The sequence below is a fragment of the Homo sapiens genome, chromosome 10, assembly GCF_000001405.40.
Source record: "Homo sapiens chromosome 10, GRCh38.p14 Primary Assembly".
In the NCBI taxonomy this organism is placed as follows: Eukaryota; Metazoa; Chordata; class Mammalia; order Primates; family Hominidae; genus Homo; species Homo sapiens.
This window is the reverse complement of record NC_000010.11, coordinates 87,908,147-87,928,494: the sequence shown is the minus strand read 5'-3', so window position 1 is coordinate 87,928,494 and position 20,348 is coordinate 87,908,147. Positions and strand designations below refer to the sequence as shown.

Genomic DNA, 20,348 nt, shown 5'->3' with positions numbered 1-20,348 from the left:
ATTTAAAGAATGAGTTTTTATGAAACAAGAGGCAGAAACTGAAGGAATAAGATTAACAGGAAAAGCTTCCAGAGAAGTGAGATTTGCCATAGAATCAGCTAGGTAGGCAGGTCTCTTCTTTACTCTCTTTGATGAAGCTATCACCATCTTACAAAAGAAAACTTAATAGATGAAAATTAGTAAAGCTAAAGGTTTACCACAAAATGATAAAGTATGTCAAATAAAATATGCACTGAAATATAGTAAATACCTTTAAAAAATTGGTATACAGTGAAAACTTAAATTCCTCAAAGGCAAGAAGTATACATCTCTTTATTCACTATCTCCCCTTCCCCATTCCTACCAGATTATACAACAAGGAACAAAAATAAAATATACTTGTACAAAACAAACTGATTAATTCAATTAAGTAACAGTACACCTGAATTTGCTTAATGTTATGAATGCCTGAAGAAAACACAGATATAAACAGATACAGTTAATCAGAAAGGCCATATTAGGAACTCTTCTTCACCCATGTATATCATAATTGCTATAAAAGATTTAACATACTATTAAATGTGGGTATGCCTAGTGCAAATATTTTAAGATCTTCAAATTATGTATGTTTGCAAAGACATATATATCACATGTAATACTATCCTAAAAATAAAAGAAATAAAATAGAACACCTGCTGCTTACCAGACTCACTTAACCAGAACCAGAAATACAAACAGAGGTAGAAAAAAGGTAAAGAAGATCGGAAAGTGACATTAGAACTCAAAACATGCTATAACTTAGTTCTAGAAACTTCTGAAGTCAGTAAAATTTGGAGAGGTTAAAACGAACAAGCAAAAAAGCAAAACGTAAAGGGAATATTGGCATAAACAGTGGATGGTCGGCTACCATATGTACCTGTGTGACCTTGTTCAACTCACTTAACTTCTCTAGGCCTCAGATTCCCCATCTGTAAAATGAGAAGGTTGGACTAAATGATCTCTTTCAGGTACTCTCCAGTTCTGAAAGCTTATGATTCCATGTGGGGAAGGGGCATTAAAATATATGCATTAAGAGCTACCCTCAACTAATAAACAGACTTCATTAACTTGGGAATCCAATGGTTGGAAATATAAAAACAAACAGGCAGTTAGGTTCCTAGGCTCTCTCCAATGCCAACTTTAACCATAATAATGTTAAGTGACCTACAATACTGATAGTACAGCTGAAGTCCTAAGTTCTTAAAGCAGGAAGTCACTACACACAGGAATGAAAAGAATTTCCTTCCCTTTCTTTGAATATGTTAAACTAGAATAAAATTTTGAAAAAGGCCGAATTTGTCTTTGGTGTCCTTCGATTTCCATTCTGAGACTTTCTAAATCCCCAGTTCTGATAGTCTAACCCTGAAGTGACTCAGTTTAATGGCTTCTAGCTTTTGAAAGTTCTTGTCCTTTTTTATTACTTATATTCTGAATCCAGTTGTGCAAAAAATACAAAGCTTTGTAGTTTTTATTTTCCTCCAAAGAAACACTATGGTATCCGCAACAAGGCTCTTTGTAGGAGAGGTTTATCAGGAAAAGAGAAAGACCCCTAAATGCATAGATCATTTGTAAGCTGGACCCATTAAGTTTCCATAACACCTTTTACTTTCTTTTATCTTGTTGCCTATTGCCACCACAATTCTCTCCCACCCCCAACATACAGACACCACAATCTGATGATAATGAATTCGCTGCCATATTCTAAACACTTTTATGCCAACAAGCTTCTTACAATGCCATTCCTTTGGCCTGTAACATCACTTCCCCTCCTCTCCTTGGCTTGAAAGTCAACCCTTACTGGTCCTTTTCACCCCAGCTCAAACTTGCCTTCCTTTATGAAACCTTCTTTATAAGGTAAAATTAGTGTTTCCAATGTTCTCTTCATTGCAACCTTCTATAGCAGAGTTACTTCTTCTGTAATGCTTTGTCTACCTTTTACATTAGAATGTAAGCGACTTGAGAATGGGAGCTACATCTTACTCACCTCTGTACACACCCCCCCAACATGTTTTGTGTTATCTAATAAGTGATAAGGACTTAACAAACGTTTGTTCCTTCATGACTCTGAGAAAAATCAGTGAAAACTTACTGAGAGTAACAATATCAATGTCCACTCCACTCTCAGTACTTCTGACGTTTTATCACACTAGAAAGATCACTAAATTACAGATAAATTTTTCCTATCTATAATTTATAGATATCACATGGGAAAGATAAAAGTCAAGTAAAAAATAACACGTTTTATGTGCCGATTTTTACAAATCAGAAAATAGTCAATATTTTGAGAAGGAAAAACAGTCTTCATGGGCAAAAAGAGTTAAGTTTTCTCTTCCTTCCTTCCTTTTTACCTTTTCACATCTCTACTCCCAAAGTCAAAAGAAAAACAAAAAGTTAAAGATAAGGTCAACTAGCTCTATCAATCAGGTGGGCAGTCCTTAAAACTCTGTCCTAGACAAGACAAGCCACCTAATTCAGCAATTTTAAATAACTTAGGTGATGTACAGTTAGAGAATGCCCTAACAGCTTTTTCAGTCAATAGCTCTAGAGACACAGGATAAACAAAATTATATTCACTCTGAAGTATACCTCCATGGAAGATGCTATTAGTGCTTTAACAGAAGCTCTACTGTGAATTACACTTCAAATTACCACACGGTTATGGGCTCAAATATGGGCTAGATGCCAAGTCATTTAAAGCAGATCAAGTAACATGAATCTGTGCCAACAATGTTTTACCTCATCACTACACTTTCTAAATGATCTAACAATGCTCTTGGACTTCTTGACTTAATCGGTTTAGGAATACAATTCTGTTAAAATGTATCTTTAACTCTACCTCACTCTAACAAGCAGATAACTTTCACTTAATAGTTGTTTTAGAAGATATTTGCAAGCATACAAATAAGAAAACATACTTACAGATTGTATATCTTGTAATGGTTTTTATGCTTTGAATCCAAAAACCTTAAAACAAAACAAACAAACAAAAAGCCACCATTAACAAAAATGAGCTAACATTTGAAATTACATTAATACTATCAAGAAAAACCAAAAGACAGATTTTCTTTTTCCTAATCTCAAATACCATTTAAGTGAAAATAAATAATCCAACAAATACCCCTTCTATGGGTTTAGAGTAGTAATCATGTCATTCTTAAATAATTATTACATTACACAGATTTATACAATCTGAAGTAAAACCAGAGCTTTTCAGAGAATATTTTCATAATCTTCTATCTTCAACCTAACATAATGAGACTGAATATTAAGACATAACTTCTTTAAAAAGCATTAGCATTTAGTGCAAGTATACCTAGCTCATAGAGATTTACAAGACAGTCATAATCAAGTACTCTTAAAAATAACCCTGAAAATTCAGACATCATTTTCCCATCAAACTGAAAACTTTTGATATTTGAAAGATCCACGTACTAACTATTAATTCTGTACAAAGGTATTAAACATTTTCACATATATACTCCATTCGACCCTCACAAACATCTGAGAGCTAGAGCTTATTAACACTATACAGAAGAGGGAGGTAGGTCTCAAAGAGATTACATAACTCGTCCAAGGTCATGTACAGCCAAGAAGTCAAAGAATCAAGACCAAAGACCTTTCCCTCAAGACAGTTATGAAAGTAAACAACAATTACAGCTAACACAAGCACTTACTATATGACAGACATATCCTAAGCACCTCAGGTATATAAACTGTTTAATCCTCAACCCCATAAGATAGGCAAAAGAAGGGCTAGAAGACCATGAAGCCGAGGAATTAACAGAATATACAGAATAAAAAGACAAATGAAAATCAGAAGACTAAACAAAAACTAAGAGTTCAGGATGTTAAATATATTTTAGGAGTTCCAGAAACAGAGAACACTGAGAAGAAACCGAAGACATAACTCAAGAAAAATACTCAAAAGTGAAGGATGTGAGTTTTCAAACTGGAAAGTTGCATGAGTACCTGGCAAAACAGATGAAAATAAGACCAAAATAGAAGCACACATATCTCATGAAATTTCTGAATACCAAAGAAACAGAAGATCCTAAAAGCTGCCAGAGAAGAAACAGGTTTCATAAAAGAATCTAGAATCAAAATGACATTATCCTTTTTAACAGCAATACTAGCAGCTAAAAAACAATTGGGCAAAACCTTCTGATTTTGAGGGAAAACTCTTCTCAGCCTAGAATTCTATACCAAGACAGACTATAAATCAAGTGTGACTATATAATAAGGGCATTTTAAAATCAGCGAAATCTCAAACCATACACTTTGTCAGGAAGTTACTAAAGATGTGCTCCGCCAAAACAAGAGTGGGAAACCATGAAAGAAGATGACAGTCTCCAAGAACTGAAGAATCTAACCCACAAGAGAGGAAAAGGGAATCCCTAGAATGATGGTGAAGGGACATCTTGAGTAGACAGCCATACAGCAAGCCAGGAAGAACAATTAGTCCAGACTGGGACAGATTAGAAGGCACCTGGAAAAGATAAAATTGATATAATGCCAAATGTGCTTAAACATGTTGAGAGATTTATACAATTAGGGGTGAGTTTATGAATTAAAGCTAAGAACATTGAAAACTAATTTTTTTAAAAAAAAGAGAGACAACTGTGAAGTCCAGAAAAAATAAAACATGCAGGAAAAAAGTCACAATATACTCTATCACTTAACTATGAATGGCATTTATCTAGTTATAATCCCATAAAAACTCAATATTGATATAACCAAAATTATAATGTAACTACTGGCAGGAATTATAATACAACTACTGGCAAGAAGAAGGATGAGGAGGAAGTCTGAAAATATGTGTGTGGTGATGTGGAAAAAAAGAGTATATGAACTTGAATCTGAAAAATTATGTTACAAAGTACTGCAAGCAGTATTTGTAACTGTCAGCAACATAAATTATATATTTTTATATCACACTACAGTTGTTGCAGATAGGCTACCATCCTTAAGAACAAAGAAACATAGTGCCCCTTGCTTTCAGCATGGTGGCTCTTCTCTGATACAGAAGGAAATGGAACTCAAGTGGAACACAGATTTCACTGAGGTAAACAGGAAGAGATTAGACTGCTAAGGCTGTTGGAGTTTGTGGAGCAAGGGACTAAGAATTTTGTATGGATTTCATCTCAGGTCCTTGGCTGGGGGCTGGGCTGTCTATGCGCAGGATCTGAAAGCATAACGGAGATGACGCCAGAGGTAACGAAATATAATACTGGGAGAAGCTGGAGTTCTGGCCTAGGCAAAGTGGAAGAGACCTCATGGAACACCCCAGATACTTAGCTGAGACATTGGAAAGGGCAACCTTGAAGTTAAAAACCATGCCCTAGGACAAAAGACAAATCTGAAAAATGCCTGCTTTAACAAAGAGAACCAAACCTGACAATACTAAATCAACTATCAATTTAAATGCCTGACAAAATGAAACTCAGCACCCTTAAAGGAAGTAACAATCCAAACTCCCTACATTTCAACATACGATTAAAATTTACTAGACAGGCAAAGCAGAAAAACATGACCTATTACAAAGAAAAAAGAGCAGGCAATAGAATCAGACTCCAAGATGAACCAGATGTTTGAATTAACAGACAGTGACTTTAAAACAGTTACTATAAATATGTACAAAGATGTTAAAAAACAATGAATACAATGAGTGAAAGATGGAAAGTCTCTGCAGACATAGAAAATACAAAAGACAGCAATTTGAGGCCTCAAAAGTACAATATCTAAGAAAAAAAATCTATCGGATGATCTCAACAGAAGATTGTAAACTGTAGAAGAAAGGTGTGGCAGATTGTATTTTCCAAAAATTCATTTAGCAAATATTTATCAAGCACCTGTTATGTAACAAATACTACTGTGGGCATAGCGGCAACAGAACTCGAAGTAATGACAACCATAATAATGAATGCTTCTAGCAGCCTGAGAAACCCGATGGAGAACTAGCTTTTGGTATCTCATTTGGAAAACAGCCTAAGGACATTGGACAGCTCCCACCAATCCTAAAATAAACGAAAAGAAAAATTAGCATCTGAAAAAGTAAAATAATTATTTATTTGCTACTTTTTCCCATGGCTAATTCGCTATTTGGTAACCATATATATTTCCCCTTGTATTAGTCCATTCTCACACTGCTATAAAGAACTACCTGAGACTGGGTAATCTTTTAGAAGAAGAAAGGTTTAATCAGAGGCCTCAGGAAACTTACAATCATGGCAGAAGGCCAAGGGAAAGCAAGCACGTCCCCGCGGCAGGAGTAGGAGGAAGAGAGAGAGCAAAGAGGGGAGGTGCTACACACTTATATACAAGCAGATCTCAGGAGAACTCTTTCGCGAGACAGCTCTAGGGTGATAGTGCTAAAACCATTACAAACCACTCCCATGATCCAATCACCTCCTACCAAGCCCCTCCTCCAACACTGAGGATCACAACTCCACATGAGATTTGGGTGGGGACACAGAGCCAAACCTTATCACTCCTGCTACATTCATGTTTAATCAACATTTGCTCTTAGAACCCTAGTGTAACTACAGCGGTTACTGCTGTTACTAACGCATAAATTTACACATAAATCATCCCTGCCTTAATCCCATCAACACAGGCAAGCTCCAAACATTTCAATTCTTAACTAATGCCTCCTGACCATCTTCAGGATGGTTATTAGAATTAATTCTGTTACGTATCCAATACATGGAAAGTAACTATCTTGTTTAAAATGTTCTTGTTTGTAACTTTCACCTGCACAGTACTGCTTTCTCCTACATTGCCTCAAGTTAAAGAAAAAATAATAACAGTTTTGAATAATTCTGCTCAAAAATAGTGATTCCTAGTACTCAAGAAAATCTAATCTCTCTAAATAGGTATAAAACTGGAGGGAAAAGAAATAAACAGTGCCAGGCCAGGCGCAGTGGCTCACACCTGTAATCCCAGTACTCTGGGAGGCCAAGGCGGGCAGATCACTTGAGGTCAGGTGTTCGAGACTAGCCTGGCCAACACAGTGAAACCCTGCCTCTGCCAAAATTAAAAAAATTAGCCAAGTATGGTGGAACGCGCCTGTAATCCCAGCTATTGGGGAAGCTGAGGCAGGGAGAATTGCTTGAACCCGGGAGGTGGAGGTTGCAGTGAGCCAAGATCGTGCCACTGCACTCCAGCCTGGGCAACAAAACGAGACTCCTTTAAAAAAAAAAAGAAAAGAAAGAAAAGAAAGGGAAGAAAGGAAGAAAGGAAGGCAAGGCAGGCAAGGCAAGGAAGGCAGGCAAGACAGGCAAGGAAGGGAAGGAAGGGAAGGAAGGAAAGAAAGAAAGAAAGAAAAGAAAGAAACAGTGGCAGAACTGACCTATAACTCACTAAGAAATTCAGAAGGCTATCAAAAATAATCTTAAAAACTGCCAAATATTTCTCCCAAGAAATCATATCATTTTGTGCTCTAACCAACATGCATAAGAGTTCCAGTTAATCTATGTCTTTGCCAATTCCTGTAAGCCCTTTTTGAGCCATTCCAGTAAATATGAGCTATCTCATTACGTTTAAATTTTCATTTCCCTGATGACTGATTTTAAACATCTTTTCATATGCCTACTGGCCATCTATATATCTTCTTTTGTAAAATTTCTGTTTCCATTTTTTGTTTTTTTTTTTGTTTGTTTGTTTTGAGACAGGATCTCACTGTGTTGCTCAGGCAAGCGTGCAGCGGTGCGATCACAGCTCACTGCAGCCTCCGCCTCCCAGGCTCAAGCTATCCTCCCACCTCAGCCTCCCAAACAGCTAGGACTACAGGTGCATGCCATCATGCCCAGCTAATTTCTTGTATTTTTTTATTTTGTAGAGACTGGGTTTCACCATGTTGCCCAGGCTGGTCTCAAACTCCTGGGCTCAAGCAATTCACCCACCTCAGCCTCCAAAAGTGCTGGCATTATAGGCATGAGCCACTGCACCCGGCCTGCCCTTCTCTTTATGGGGTTATTTTCTCATTATGAAGTTGTAAGAGCATCTTTATGTATATATTATACATTCAAGTCCTTTTTCAGATATATGTATTGCAAATATTTTCTCCAAAACTGCTTGCCTTTTCATTTTGAGTCTTTCAATGAGCAGAAATTTTTAATGTTGATAAAGTCAAATTTGTCCATTTTTTCCTTATATAGTTAATTTTATATGTACTGTCTAAGAAATCTTTAAACCAAAAGTCACAGAGATTTTCTCCTATGTTTTCATCTAGAAGTTTTATATTTTTAAATTTTACTTTTACATTTAGGTCAACAATCCACTTCAAATTAATTTTTGTATATGATAAGACATAAAAGTCAAGGTTCACTTTGTTTTCTCTATTGTTCCAGTATTATTTGTTTAAAAGATTATCCTTTTCCCATGAATAATCTCAGCACCTTTGTCAAGAAATGTGTATGTGAACTTTTCTGGAATCTACTCTGTTCAACTGATCTACATCATGTGACCCAACAATTCTACTCAAAGGTATTGAATAAACAGAAACAAAAATATATGTCCACAAAAGTCTTGCACATGAATGCTTACAGCAGCTTTGTTCATAACAGACCCAAACTGAAAACAACTCAAATGCCCACCACACTAATAAAGAAATGTCATATCCATACAATGTAATATTAGTCAGCAATAAAAAAGAACAAATTATTGATACTAGTAACAACAGGGATAAATTTCAAAAATATTATACTAAAAGAAAGAAGCCAGACACAAAAAGGAATACATGCTATATGACTGTATTTATATGTAATCCTAGTATAGGCAAAGCATATAGAAAGCAGATCAGAGATTGCCTGAAACCAGGTTTGGGGACTGACTACAAATGGGCATGAGGGAAACTTTTCATAAAGCGAGTGTTCTAAATCTTGGTTGTTGTGTTTACAAGAAGGTGTGTGTTTACAAGAAGGTGTGTGTGTGTGTGTGTGTGTGTGTGTATTTCTCAAAAGTCAATGAACCGTACATTTAAAATGGGTAGATTTTATTGCATGTAAATTATACTCCAATAAAGCTAATTTTTAAAAGTAATATAAAAAAAGTAATATAAATAGCCTCTGATTTAGAAATATCAGTATGTAAAATGCAACCTACCTTTAAAAAGACTCAAATTTATTTTGATTAAGCTAGAGGACAGCAACAGAAAGAGTACATCAACTTCAGGAATTAGAACTTTTTAGAATGAGAGGCAGAATGACACTGTATAGAACAGCACTGTCTAACAGAACTTTTGCAATAATGAAAATGTTCTGTATCTGTGCTGTCTTAATACAGTAATCACAAGCCACATGTAGCTACTGAGCACAAGAAATGTAGCTAGCAAAAACAACTCAGTAAATTTATTTTATTTTATTTACATTTAAACATAATGATAGCTACATGTGGCTAGTGGCTACCTACACTGGATAACAGATATCTAAAGGATATCTATCTATGAAAAAAAAAATCTGCTGGGATACAATACACATGCTCCCTAGTCAGGTAGTAGAAATGGGTACATCCTTAGAATAGAGCATAAAATTGGAACAGAGAAAAGGTACAGTAAAAATTAGAGACTTCACAGCTGTCAAAATATATACTAAACATATTTTCAACTACATGCAGTTTTCCAATAAATTCTTGCCATGCTTGATTAATTTGCTTCTGTCATTAGATTAGAAAGAAACTACAATTCTGGATATATTTCTAACTAAGAATGAGGAACAAGTTTGAGTGGAAATGCCAGGAAACAGGGAGAAAGTGTTCACATAATTTTAGAGTTCACGTCAGACAAGGAAGGAAATACTGGCGTAGTTAGATATGATACAGATCAGTAAAACAGATTTCAAAAGCTTCATTTAAATAACAGGCTATGAATTCATAACTCAACCTATAATGAAAGACTTGTGGTTTTAAAAACTAAAATTCTGTATAAACAACTACAAATGACTCCAGTTTAAAAAAGACAAAGGAGGAAATACACAAATTATCTAAAATCAACCAACACAGCTGCAGTGAATTTACCTTCAAAGCTCAGATTCAAAACGTACATATATATATTATAATAGCCAAAAAAGGGGATGAGAGATAATTACAGATGAAACAAAACAGCAGCACATATAAAGGAACATGAAAATAGTAAAAACAAAAGGCTTGGAGGAGGGGAGAATGTTCACACCAAAAAGAACAATAAAAAAATTAGGCCAGGTGCAGTGGCTCATGCCTGTAATCCCAGCACTTTGGGAGGCCAAAGCAGGCAGATCACTAGAGGTCAGGAGTTCAAGACCAGCCTGGCCAACATGGTGAAGTCCCATATCTACTAAAAATACAAAAATTAGCCGGGCATGGTGGCACATGCCTGTAGTCCCAGCTACTCAGGAGGCTAAGGCAGGAGAATTGCTTGAACCTGGGAGGCAGAGGTTGCAGTGAGCCAAGACTGTGCCACTGCACTCCAGCCTGGGCAACAGAGTGAGACTTTGTCTCAAGAAAGAAAAAAGAAATTAGACTCCCACACATTAAACAGCTATATAATGCTAAAGACAAGGAAAAAGGCAGGAACTCTTAAATTCCCTTTTCACTTTTATCTTCTCTATCCAAAAGAAGATGATTCAGTAAGTAAGGAGTAGTGGGTACATGACAGTTCTCTTTATTGAAAGCATTTCCTACTTGCTAATTTAAGCAAGGTGACTTTTAAAGAATATTTCTTAATAAACAATCAATAATGCAAAACAAAAGATAACCCACCAAGTTCTTTATGCTATTATTGTTTCATCTGAATTTTGTAGTCACAAAATTCAAATGGCAAGAGAAGCAGAACATTAGACAACTGTCTGAAGAAAGAATAAAATTGGTTTCCTGAAAATCATTAAGGAAAATACAAACAAACTAAAAGAAAAATAAGTTGAAAATAGGGTCAGTATATACATACACACACACCAGAAAGTACATAAGACCAATACATCAAAAAGTCGCTAAACCTCACAATTAAAAAAACACGATCAAATAACAAGATACCATTTTTTGCCAACAAGCTATAAAAAGTTAAAGTTTGAAACTATTCAGTTTGCCAAAGTTAGTGGGGATAGAAGGAAGAAGCACTCTTAAACAGTGAGTATATAAAATACCATTTTTGAAGGCACTAGTTTAAACCATAGACGCAATGGACCTAGCAACTCCACTGCTAAGAATTTGCCTTAAAGATATACTTGGAAAAGACAACAAGATACATATGTGAACTGTTCTCAATGACAAAAAAAAAACTGGAAACAACTTATATATTCATCATAGGGGCCTATTAATGATAGCATGATCATAAAATGAAATAAAAGGTAGTTAATAAAAGAATCAGGTAGGTAGATGTCCACAACAATATGGAAGATTCCTCAGATATAAAATTTTTGAAAGGGGCCAAACAGTGGTAGTATGTTCCCATTTGCTTTTCTTAAAAAGTGGGTAAACAATGAAAACAATTTTCAAAAGAATATGTGAAACTTTAAATTACAGATATAGTTAGGAAGAGGGTAAAATAGGAGAAATTTGTAGGGGATATTTGTCATCTTCAGGCTGTTAGGCAACCAAAATACCATTTCAATTTGGAGATAATTTCAAGAGATTAGAAGCAGATACTTCTTTCCTCATCTTTCTCTTAACACATGTACAGGCCTGATACCAACTATTAATAGATCTTTTTGCCGTGGATACCGAATCCTAGTGAGGACAAGGTACAGGAGAGTCAGAGATTATTCCTAGAGATCACCAGAGGAGGTGAGTTAATGAGCAGAGTCACCAGTTTCGAGGCATAGTGGCAGCAGCTATTACACCAAGTGTCCAAGCAGCAAAGTCCTAAGCAGATTGCTCCTGTTGAAACCTTGGGGCCATGTCTTGCTTCCCTTAGCTTCCACCTATCTTCCAAGTCTTGTTGTCAAACTATGACCTACCTAATACTTTTTTAAAAATTCCTTTCTGATTAGGTAAATCAGAGTCACTTTCTATCATTTGCAACCAAGAATTCTGGTTTCTTTTACAGCATTTTCCCATAATTTTGTTTTTAGTGAGGGCTGGTGAAACCATGCTCTTTTGTGAGCTCCCTTTAATATTTGAACTTTATGATTTCTTACCTACCACTGTGAACAACTGTGAGACTTGCAGGAGAATAAACAATCTATTTAAAAGAAAGTATTACAACAGTTTAAAAAGGGGATGAGGTTATGTTCTCTCAAAGAACTTGACTATAACTTAGGGAAACATTCACCATGGCTGCCCCTCCCACTTCCTTCTCTTTCCTCCCAAGGATTTCATGCCCACAGTTGGCTGATTGCCTTATAAGTCTGACACAATGGAAAGGCGGAAAAAAAGCAAGAAAACAGCACTTTCCAAAGGGAAATGGGAAAATTTGCCTATAGATACTTGGAAAGTAGAGACTAAAAAAGTAGATAAACAAAAGCAGAGAGGTAATACTCCCAAAACTTGGATAATCTAGACTACAAATCTTTCTAATATAAACATACCTTACTTCCAATAATTTCAATATATAAACATCTAAACCCATTAATGACTCACAGATTTGAGAACACAGTCTTTTTTTTTTTGTACTTTGTGTGTAAATTATACTTCAATAAGCCTAACTTTTTAAAAAGCTTCACATGCTGCAAAATATCCCTTATGGGCAGACCTCTTACCTGGGCAAGGAAAGAGAGCAGAAAAAAGAAACAAGCACAAGAATGTGGGGCTACTTAAGGGAGTGTAGTAGTGGGGCACTGACAGCACAGACCTCGGTATGTCTTTGTGAAGTCTGGCGGTCTTGGGGATTAAGAACTGGCAGCTCTGATTGTTAGTCTGGAGCAGCTTCTACCTCCCTGGGAGGCCACTGTGCTCTCTATCCCACCCCTGAGGGATTAGGGAAGGAAAAGCATAGCAGGCTTGCCCAGGGCCTGACTACGACCCAGGTAGGTGGGGACACTAGGTACCTGCCCCAGCAGAGATGGCTTTCAGGTATACAGGTTGCTGCGCCTTCTGAAACTCACAGGGCAGCACTCAGACCATGCAGGCCCAAAGCCCTGATGCCTCCTGCAGGTTACACTTCCCGACACTTGCAAAAGGCTAGCACGAGAAGCACCCATAAGCAGGGTGAGAAAATCTGTCTTCATTTTTTAAATTCTTTACTTTCTTCACAGTTCCTATGAAACAGATCTAAATAAGCTTCAAGAATACGTTTTAAAATTATTTTTGACAAAATAATAAACATATACCTTTCAAATGATAAAATAAAAAAAGTTTGGAATAAAAAATTTGTCTAAGAGCTGGGTGCAGTGGCTCACACCTGTAATCCTAGCACTTTGGGAGGCTGAGGCGGGTTGATCACCTGAGGTCAGGAGTTCGAGACTAGCCTGGCCAACATGGTGAAACCCTGTCTCTACTAAAAATACAAAAAATTAGCCAGGCATGGTGGTGCACGCCTGTAATTCCAGCTACTTGGGAAGCTGAGGCAGGAGAATTGCCTGAACCCGGGAGGCAGAGGTTGCAGTGAGCCGAGGTCATGCTACTGTACTCCAGCCTGGGCGGGCAACAGAGTAAGACTCCATCTCAAGAACAAAAAAAAAAAATTAGTCAAAGAAAGATGGCAGAATCAGAAGTACCAGGAACCCATCTCCCCACCTAGACGACTGTAAGCAGAATCTGTGATTCTGGAACTCTGGAGTCTATTCAGGTTTTCAGTTTCTAAGGAAAGACTTGAATGGTAAATCAGTTAGTTTGAGTCAATTTCAGCTCTTTGTGCCGTCGCGGCTACCCATCACCCACTCTCAAAGCAGGCAACCATGCACATGTTCCCAGAGCACCCTGCACACAGTTTGTAAGAGTCAAGGTTGGCAACAAAGACCTTGCCCTCCAAATATCAGGAATCTGTGTTCTGATTGCTAATTGCTGCTTCTGATCAAAATGTGACACAGAGGCAGACTATCATTATTTAACTGCCATTGGCTGAAAAAATTGCTCCAGGGATTTAAAGATCCAGAGCTATTTCACCCCTTTGATTTATTTTTAATTTTTAATTTTTATTTATTTATTTATTTATTTTGCCTTTTAGGAGCCAAACATTTAAGGAGGATACTACTGCAAAAGAACTGCATACATAGGGCAATTTAGAAAGTCACTACACATGCCCAGGGAAAAACACAGGCCGAGAAGATCTTAAGATTACACCCAGCATAGAAATACTCTACAACAAATAAAAAAACCAAACAAAATAGCACATCTTAGAGAAAAGAGAAAAATCTAATTTCCAAAGTTACCACTCTTTAAGATTCAAATTCCAGTTTTTGACAACAACAACAAAAATCACAAAGCATACCAAAAAAAAAAACTACCCCAAGCAAAACATTAAGTATAGGCCAAAAGGAAAAAAATAAATTAACAGAAACTGTGCCTGAGAAGATCAGATGGCAGACACTTACTAGACATAGACTTTAAAACAAATGTTGAAAGGTGCTCAAAAAGCTAAAGGAAGATATGGATAATGTCAAAAAACAAAATTGAAATATCAATAAAGAGAAAACATAAAAAAATCAAAAAATAAATGCTGGAGCTGAAAAGTACAAAAACTGAAATAAAAATTTACTAGAGGAATTCAAAAGCCAATTTGGGCAGGCAGAAGAATCAGTAAACTTGGAAGGCAGAACAGCTGAAAATACCACGTGTCTGAGGAACAGAAAAAAAAAACTGAAGGAAAATTGAAGACAAGAGCCTAAGACACCTGTGGAACACCATCATCAAGTGGACCAACACATACACACTCTGGGAATCCCAGAATAAAAAGAGAGAAAAGGGGCAAAAAAGATTATGTGAAGAAATATTAATCAAAAACTTCCCAAATTTGATGAGACATGAATATAAATATTCAAGAAGCTCAATTAACTCCAAGTAGGAAAAACTCAGAGATCCAAGTAGGAAAAACTGAGATAGATTATAATCAAACTATGAAAAAAGAGAATCCTGAACATGGAATGAGAGAAGCAACTTGTAACATACAAAGGGATCCTCAATATCAGCAGATTTCTCATCAGAACTCTTGAAGGACAGAAGGCAGTGGGATGATATATTTAAAATCCTGAAAGGAAACAAACAAATAAACACAAATACCTGTCAACTGAGAATACTATATCCAGCAAAAATGTCCTTAAAAATGAAGACATTAAGACATTTCCAGATTAACAAAATCTGAGAGAGTTCATTATCACCAGACCTGTCCTGCAAGAAACGCTGAAGTGAGTCTTTCAGGCTGAAATAAAAGGAGACTAGACAGTAACTTGAAGCTGTATTAAGAAATAAAGATCTGAGAAATGATAAATACATGAGCAATTACCAAAGCTAGCATTATTGTAACATTGGTTTACAACTCCACTTTTTGTTTTCCACAAATTAAGACACTACTGCATTAAAAAACAATTATTAGTCTACGCTTTTAGACACACAATACATAAAAATGTAATTTTATGACATCAATAACTGGAAGGGAGCAGGGACTGAATCTTATGAGCTGAATTTTTGTATGCTATTGAAAGTAAATTGGTATAAATTGAAATTGCAGTGTTATAACTTTAGGGCATTAAATGTGACCCCCAATGGCAACCACACACACACACACACAGAAAATAGCAGAATATAAACAAAAGGAAATAACAAGGAAATTAAAACACTTCACCACAAAATATCAACTAAACACAAGTGCCAGTAAGGCAGGAAATGAGGGACAAAAAAGCTGTAAGGCATATAGAAAATAAACAGCAAAATGGCAGCAGTTAAATCCTTATCAATAATTACTTTAATTGTAAATGATAAAACTCTTCAATCAAAAGGCAGAGTTTGACAGAATGTATAAGAAAAACACAATCTACAAGAGATTGTATATGCTGTCTACAAGAGACTCATTTCAGATCCAAAGACACAAATAAGGGATGTAAAAAGACATTCTATACAAGTAATAACCAAATGAGAGTGCAGGTAGCTACATTAATATTAGACAAACTAAATCAAAACAAGGTTGAGACAAAAAAGATATTACACATCAATAAGTGTCAATATAGCAAGAAGATATAATAATCAAAAACATTTACATGCCTAATAAGAGACCACCCAATTATATGAAGCAAAAAATTGACAGAATTGAAGGTAAACAGACAGTTCTGAAATAACAGCTGGACACTTCGATACCCTACTCTCAATAATGGACAAAAACACCCAGTCAGAATATAGGCAAGAAAATAGAGGATCTGGGCCAGACAAGGTGGCTAACGCCTATAATCCTAGCACTTCGGGAGGCCAAGGCGGGTGGATCACTTGAAGTCAGGAGTTCGAGATCATCCTGGCCAACATGGCGAAACCCTGTCTCTACTAAAAATACAAAAATTAGCTGGGCATGGTGGCATGTGCCTGTAATCCTACCTACTGGGGAGGCTGAGACCAGGAGAATTGCTCGAACCCAGGAGGTGGATGTTGCAGTGAGCCAAGATCGCACCACTGCACTCCAGCCTGGGTGACAGAGCAACACTCTGTTTTAAAAAAAAAACAGGGAACCAAATAAAGTATCTTCTATCACAACAGGATGCCACTGAAAATCAATAAAATCAATAACTGAAGAAAAAGTAGAAAATTCACCAACTGTGGAAATTAAAAAATACACGGTTAAACGCAGAAGAAATCACAAGGGAACTTAGAAAATACTTAGAAATAAATTAAAACAAAAAAACACAACATGCCAAAAATTACAGAACAGCAAAAGCAGTCCTAAGAGGGAAATTTGTAGTTGTACACATTTAATTGAAAACGATCTCAAATCAATAATCCAACTTCAAATCTTAAGGAACTAGAAAAAGAACAAACTAATAAACCCAAAGCTAGCAGGATGAAGGAAATAACAAAGCTTAGAGAGGATATAAATAATAGAAAAATAACAGAGAAAAATCAATGAAACCAAAAACTGGTTCTTTGAAAAAATTTTAACAATTGACCCAGCTTTACCTGTATTAAGATAAAGAAGATTCAAATTACTAAAATCTGAAATAAAAGTAGGGACATTAGTATCAACTGCACAGAAGTTTAAAAAAAAGAGAAGACAGTACTATGAACAATTGTATGCCAACAAATTAGATAATATAGATTAAATGGAGAAATAACGAGAAGTACAAAATGTACTAATACTGAATCACACACACAAAAAGAAAATCTGAATAGACCTATAACTAGTAACAAGACTGAATCAATAATAACAATAAAAAAATTCCAGACAAAAGCCCTAGATGTGATTTTTTTATCTGTGAATTCTATCAAACATTTAAAGAACATCGTTTTTTCCCAAAGTTTTGCCAAAAATGGATGAGGAAACACTTCCTAACACATTCAATGAGGCCAGCATTGCCCTGATAGCAAAGTCAAAGAAACTACAAAAGAAAACTATAGACCAGTAGCCCTTAGGAACATTGATATAAAGTCCTCAACACAGAACCAACAAACTGAATTCCACAGCTTATTAAATGGATTATACACGAAGACCAAGTAAAATTTATTCCTGGGATGCAAAAATGGCTCAATATATGAAAAACAATATATCATGTTAATAGAAAGAAGAAAACAAATCACATGGTCATCTCAACTAGCACAGAAAAAATATTTGAAAAAATTCAACAAGATTTTATGATAAAAACACTCAATAAACTAAGAATAAAAAGAAATTACCACAACATAATGAAGGCCATATATAAAAATCCCACAGTGGCCAGGCATGGTGGCTGACTATAATCCCAGCACTATGGGAGGCCGAGGCAGGTGAATCACTTGAGGCCAAGAGTTCGAGACCAGCTTGGCCAACATGGTGAAACCATGTTTCTACTAAAAATACGAAAATTAGCTGGGCATAGTGGTGGACACCTGTAATCCCAGCTACTTGGGAGGCTGAAGCAGGAGAATCACTTGAACCTGGCGGGAGGAGGAGGGTGCAGTGAACCGAGATCGCACCACTGCACTCCAGCCTGGGCGACACAGCGAGACTCTATCTGGGGGGAAAAAAAAAATCCCATAGCTAACATGATAGTCAATGGCAAAGAATTGAAAGCTTTTCCTATAAGGTCAGAAACAAGACAGGATGCCTGCTTTCACCACTTCCATTCAACATAGTATTGAATGTATGAGAGAGCATTAAGAAAATGAATAAAAATCATCTCAAATTGGAAAGGAACAAGTAAAATTATCTCATTTGCAGATGATATAATCTTATATGCAGAAAACCTCAAGGATTTCAAACACAAAAAAAGAATAAACAAACCCGCGAAGAAGCAGGGCACAAATTTAATGTGCGAAGAATCAGTTGTGTTTCTATACCCTAAGAATGAACAATTAGGAAAGGAAATTAAGAAAACAGATTTATAAGATCATCAGAATGAATAAAATACTTAGGAATTAACTTAACCAAGGAGGTAAAATACTTGTACACTGAAAATTACAAAACATTGCTGAAAGAAAAGAAAGAATACGTAAATAAATGGAAAGACATCTGGTGTTCATGGCTTTAAAGACTTAATATTGTTAAGATGTCAGTACTATTCAATGCAATCTACAGACTAATACAATCCCTACCAAAATCCCAACAATGTTTCTGGTAGAAATAAAAAAAAAAATCCAGGTGGGAGGAGGCGAGCTCAGGAAAAATAACTAATGGGTACTAGGCTTAATACCTGGGTGATGAAATAATCTATACAACAGAACACCTTGACACAAATTTACCTATGTAATAAACCTGCACATGCACCCCTAAACTTAAAAGTTAAAAAAAAAATCCATCCTAAAACTCACAAAGGGCCCTGAAGGGCCAAAACCATCTTGAAATATAAGAAGTTGGGGCCATGCACGGTGGCTCATACCTGTAATCGCAACACTTTGGGACACTGAGGAGGGCAGACTGCTTGGGCTCAGGAGTTCGAGACCCACCTGGGCAATATGGCAAAACCCTGTCTCTACAAGAAATACAAAAACTAGCTGAGCATGGTGGTATGTGTCTACAATCCCAGCTACTCAGGAGGCTGAGGTGGGAGGATTGCTTGAACCTCAGATGTGGAGGTTGCAGTGAGCTAAGATTGTGCCACTGCACTCCAGCCTGGGCAACAGAGCCAGATGCTATTTCAAAAAATAAGTAAATAAATACACAAGACATATACTTCCTGGTTTCAAATTTTACTATAAAGCTACAGTACTAAAATTAGGGTGGTCCTGACATAAAAAAACAAACATATAGTCTAACAGAATAGTCGAGAGAGCCCAAAAATAAACCCTTGCATCTATTGTCAAATAATTTTCAACAAGAGTGCCAAGACTATTCAATGGGGAAAAAGACACTCTTTTCAACAAATAATGCTGGGAAAACTAGATATTCACATCCAAAAGTGTGAAGCTGGACTCTTACATAACATTATATACAAAATTTAACTCAAAATGGATCAAACACCTAAATGTGAGAGCTAAAACTATAAAAACCTTCAGGAGAAAACATGGGGGAAAGTTTCATGGTATGAATTTGGCAATTATTTCTTGAATGTGACACCAAAGGTACAGGCAACAAAAGAAAACAGACAAGTTGGATTTTTTCAAGCTAAATAGCTCCTGCACAGCAAAGGAAACAATCAACAGAGTGAAAAAGTAACCCATTCTTTATGGGAGAAAATATTTGCAAATAACATATCCAATAAGGGATTAATATTCAGAGAATACAAAGAACTTCTTTTTCTTTTTTTTTGAGACAGAGTCTCGCTCTGTCACCCAGGCTGAGTGCAGTGGCACAATCTCAGCTCACTGCAACCCCCCCACCTTCCGGGTTCAAGCAAGTCTCCTGCCTCAGCCTCCCCAACAGCTGGGACTACAGGTGTGCACCATCACGCCCGACCACACCAGCTAATTTTTGTATTTTTAGTAGAGATGGGGTTTCACTATACCAGCCAGTCTGGTCTTGAACTCCTAACCTCGTGATCCACCTGCCTCGGCCTCCCAAAGGCACGAGCCACCGTGCCCAGCCAGAGTATACAAAGAACTTCTAAAACACAATTTAAAAATCCCAAACTACTCAATTCATAAATGGGCAAAAGGCTTCAAGAGACATCATTGCTCCAAAGCTGATATACAAATGACCAAATAAGCATGTGCAAATGTTCAATATCGCTGATCATTAGGAAAATGCAAATTAAAACCACAATGAGACTTCACACCCATTAGGATGGCTATTATTAAAAAAAAACATAAACAAAACAACACGATGGTGAGGATGTGGCAAATTCGGAACCCTAGTGTATTGCTGGTGGTAATGT

The 20,348-nt window shown here is 36.4% G+C and overlaps 1 protein-coding gene across 3 annotated transcripts in view; it reads right to left on the bottom strand.

Moving 5' to 3' along the window:
* The window catches only part of PTEN (phosphatase and tensin homolog), a 108,306-nt gene that overhangs the window by 43,436 nt on the left and 44,522 nt on the right, over window positions 1-20,348 (bottom strand). For 2 of the 3 annotated variants that reach the window (NM_001304717.5, NM_000314.8), the window contains 1 exon segment: window positions 2,938-2,982. In NM_001304717.5, coding sequence (NP_001291646.4) covers window positions 2,938-2,982 — 45 coding nt within the window. 3 annotated transcript variants of the gene reach the window in all.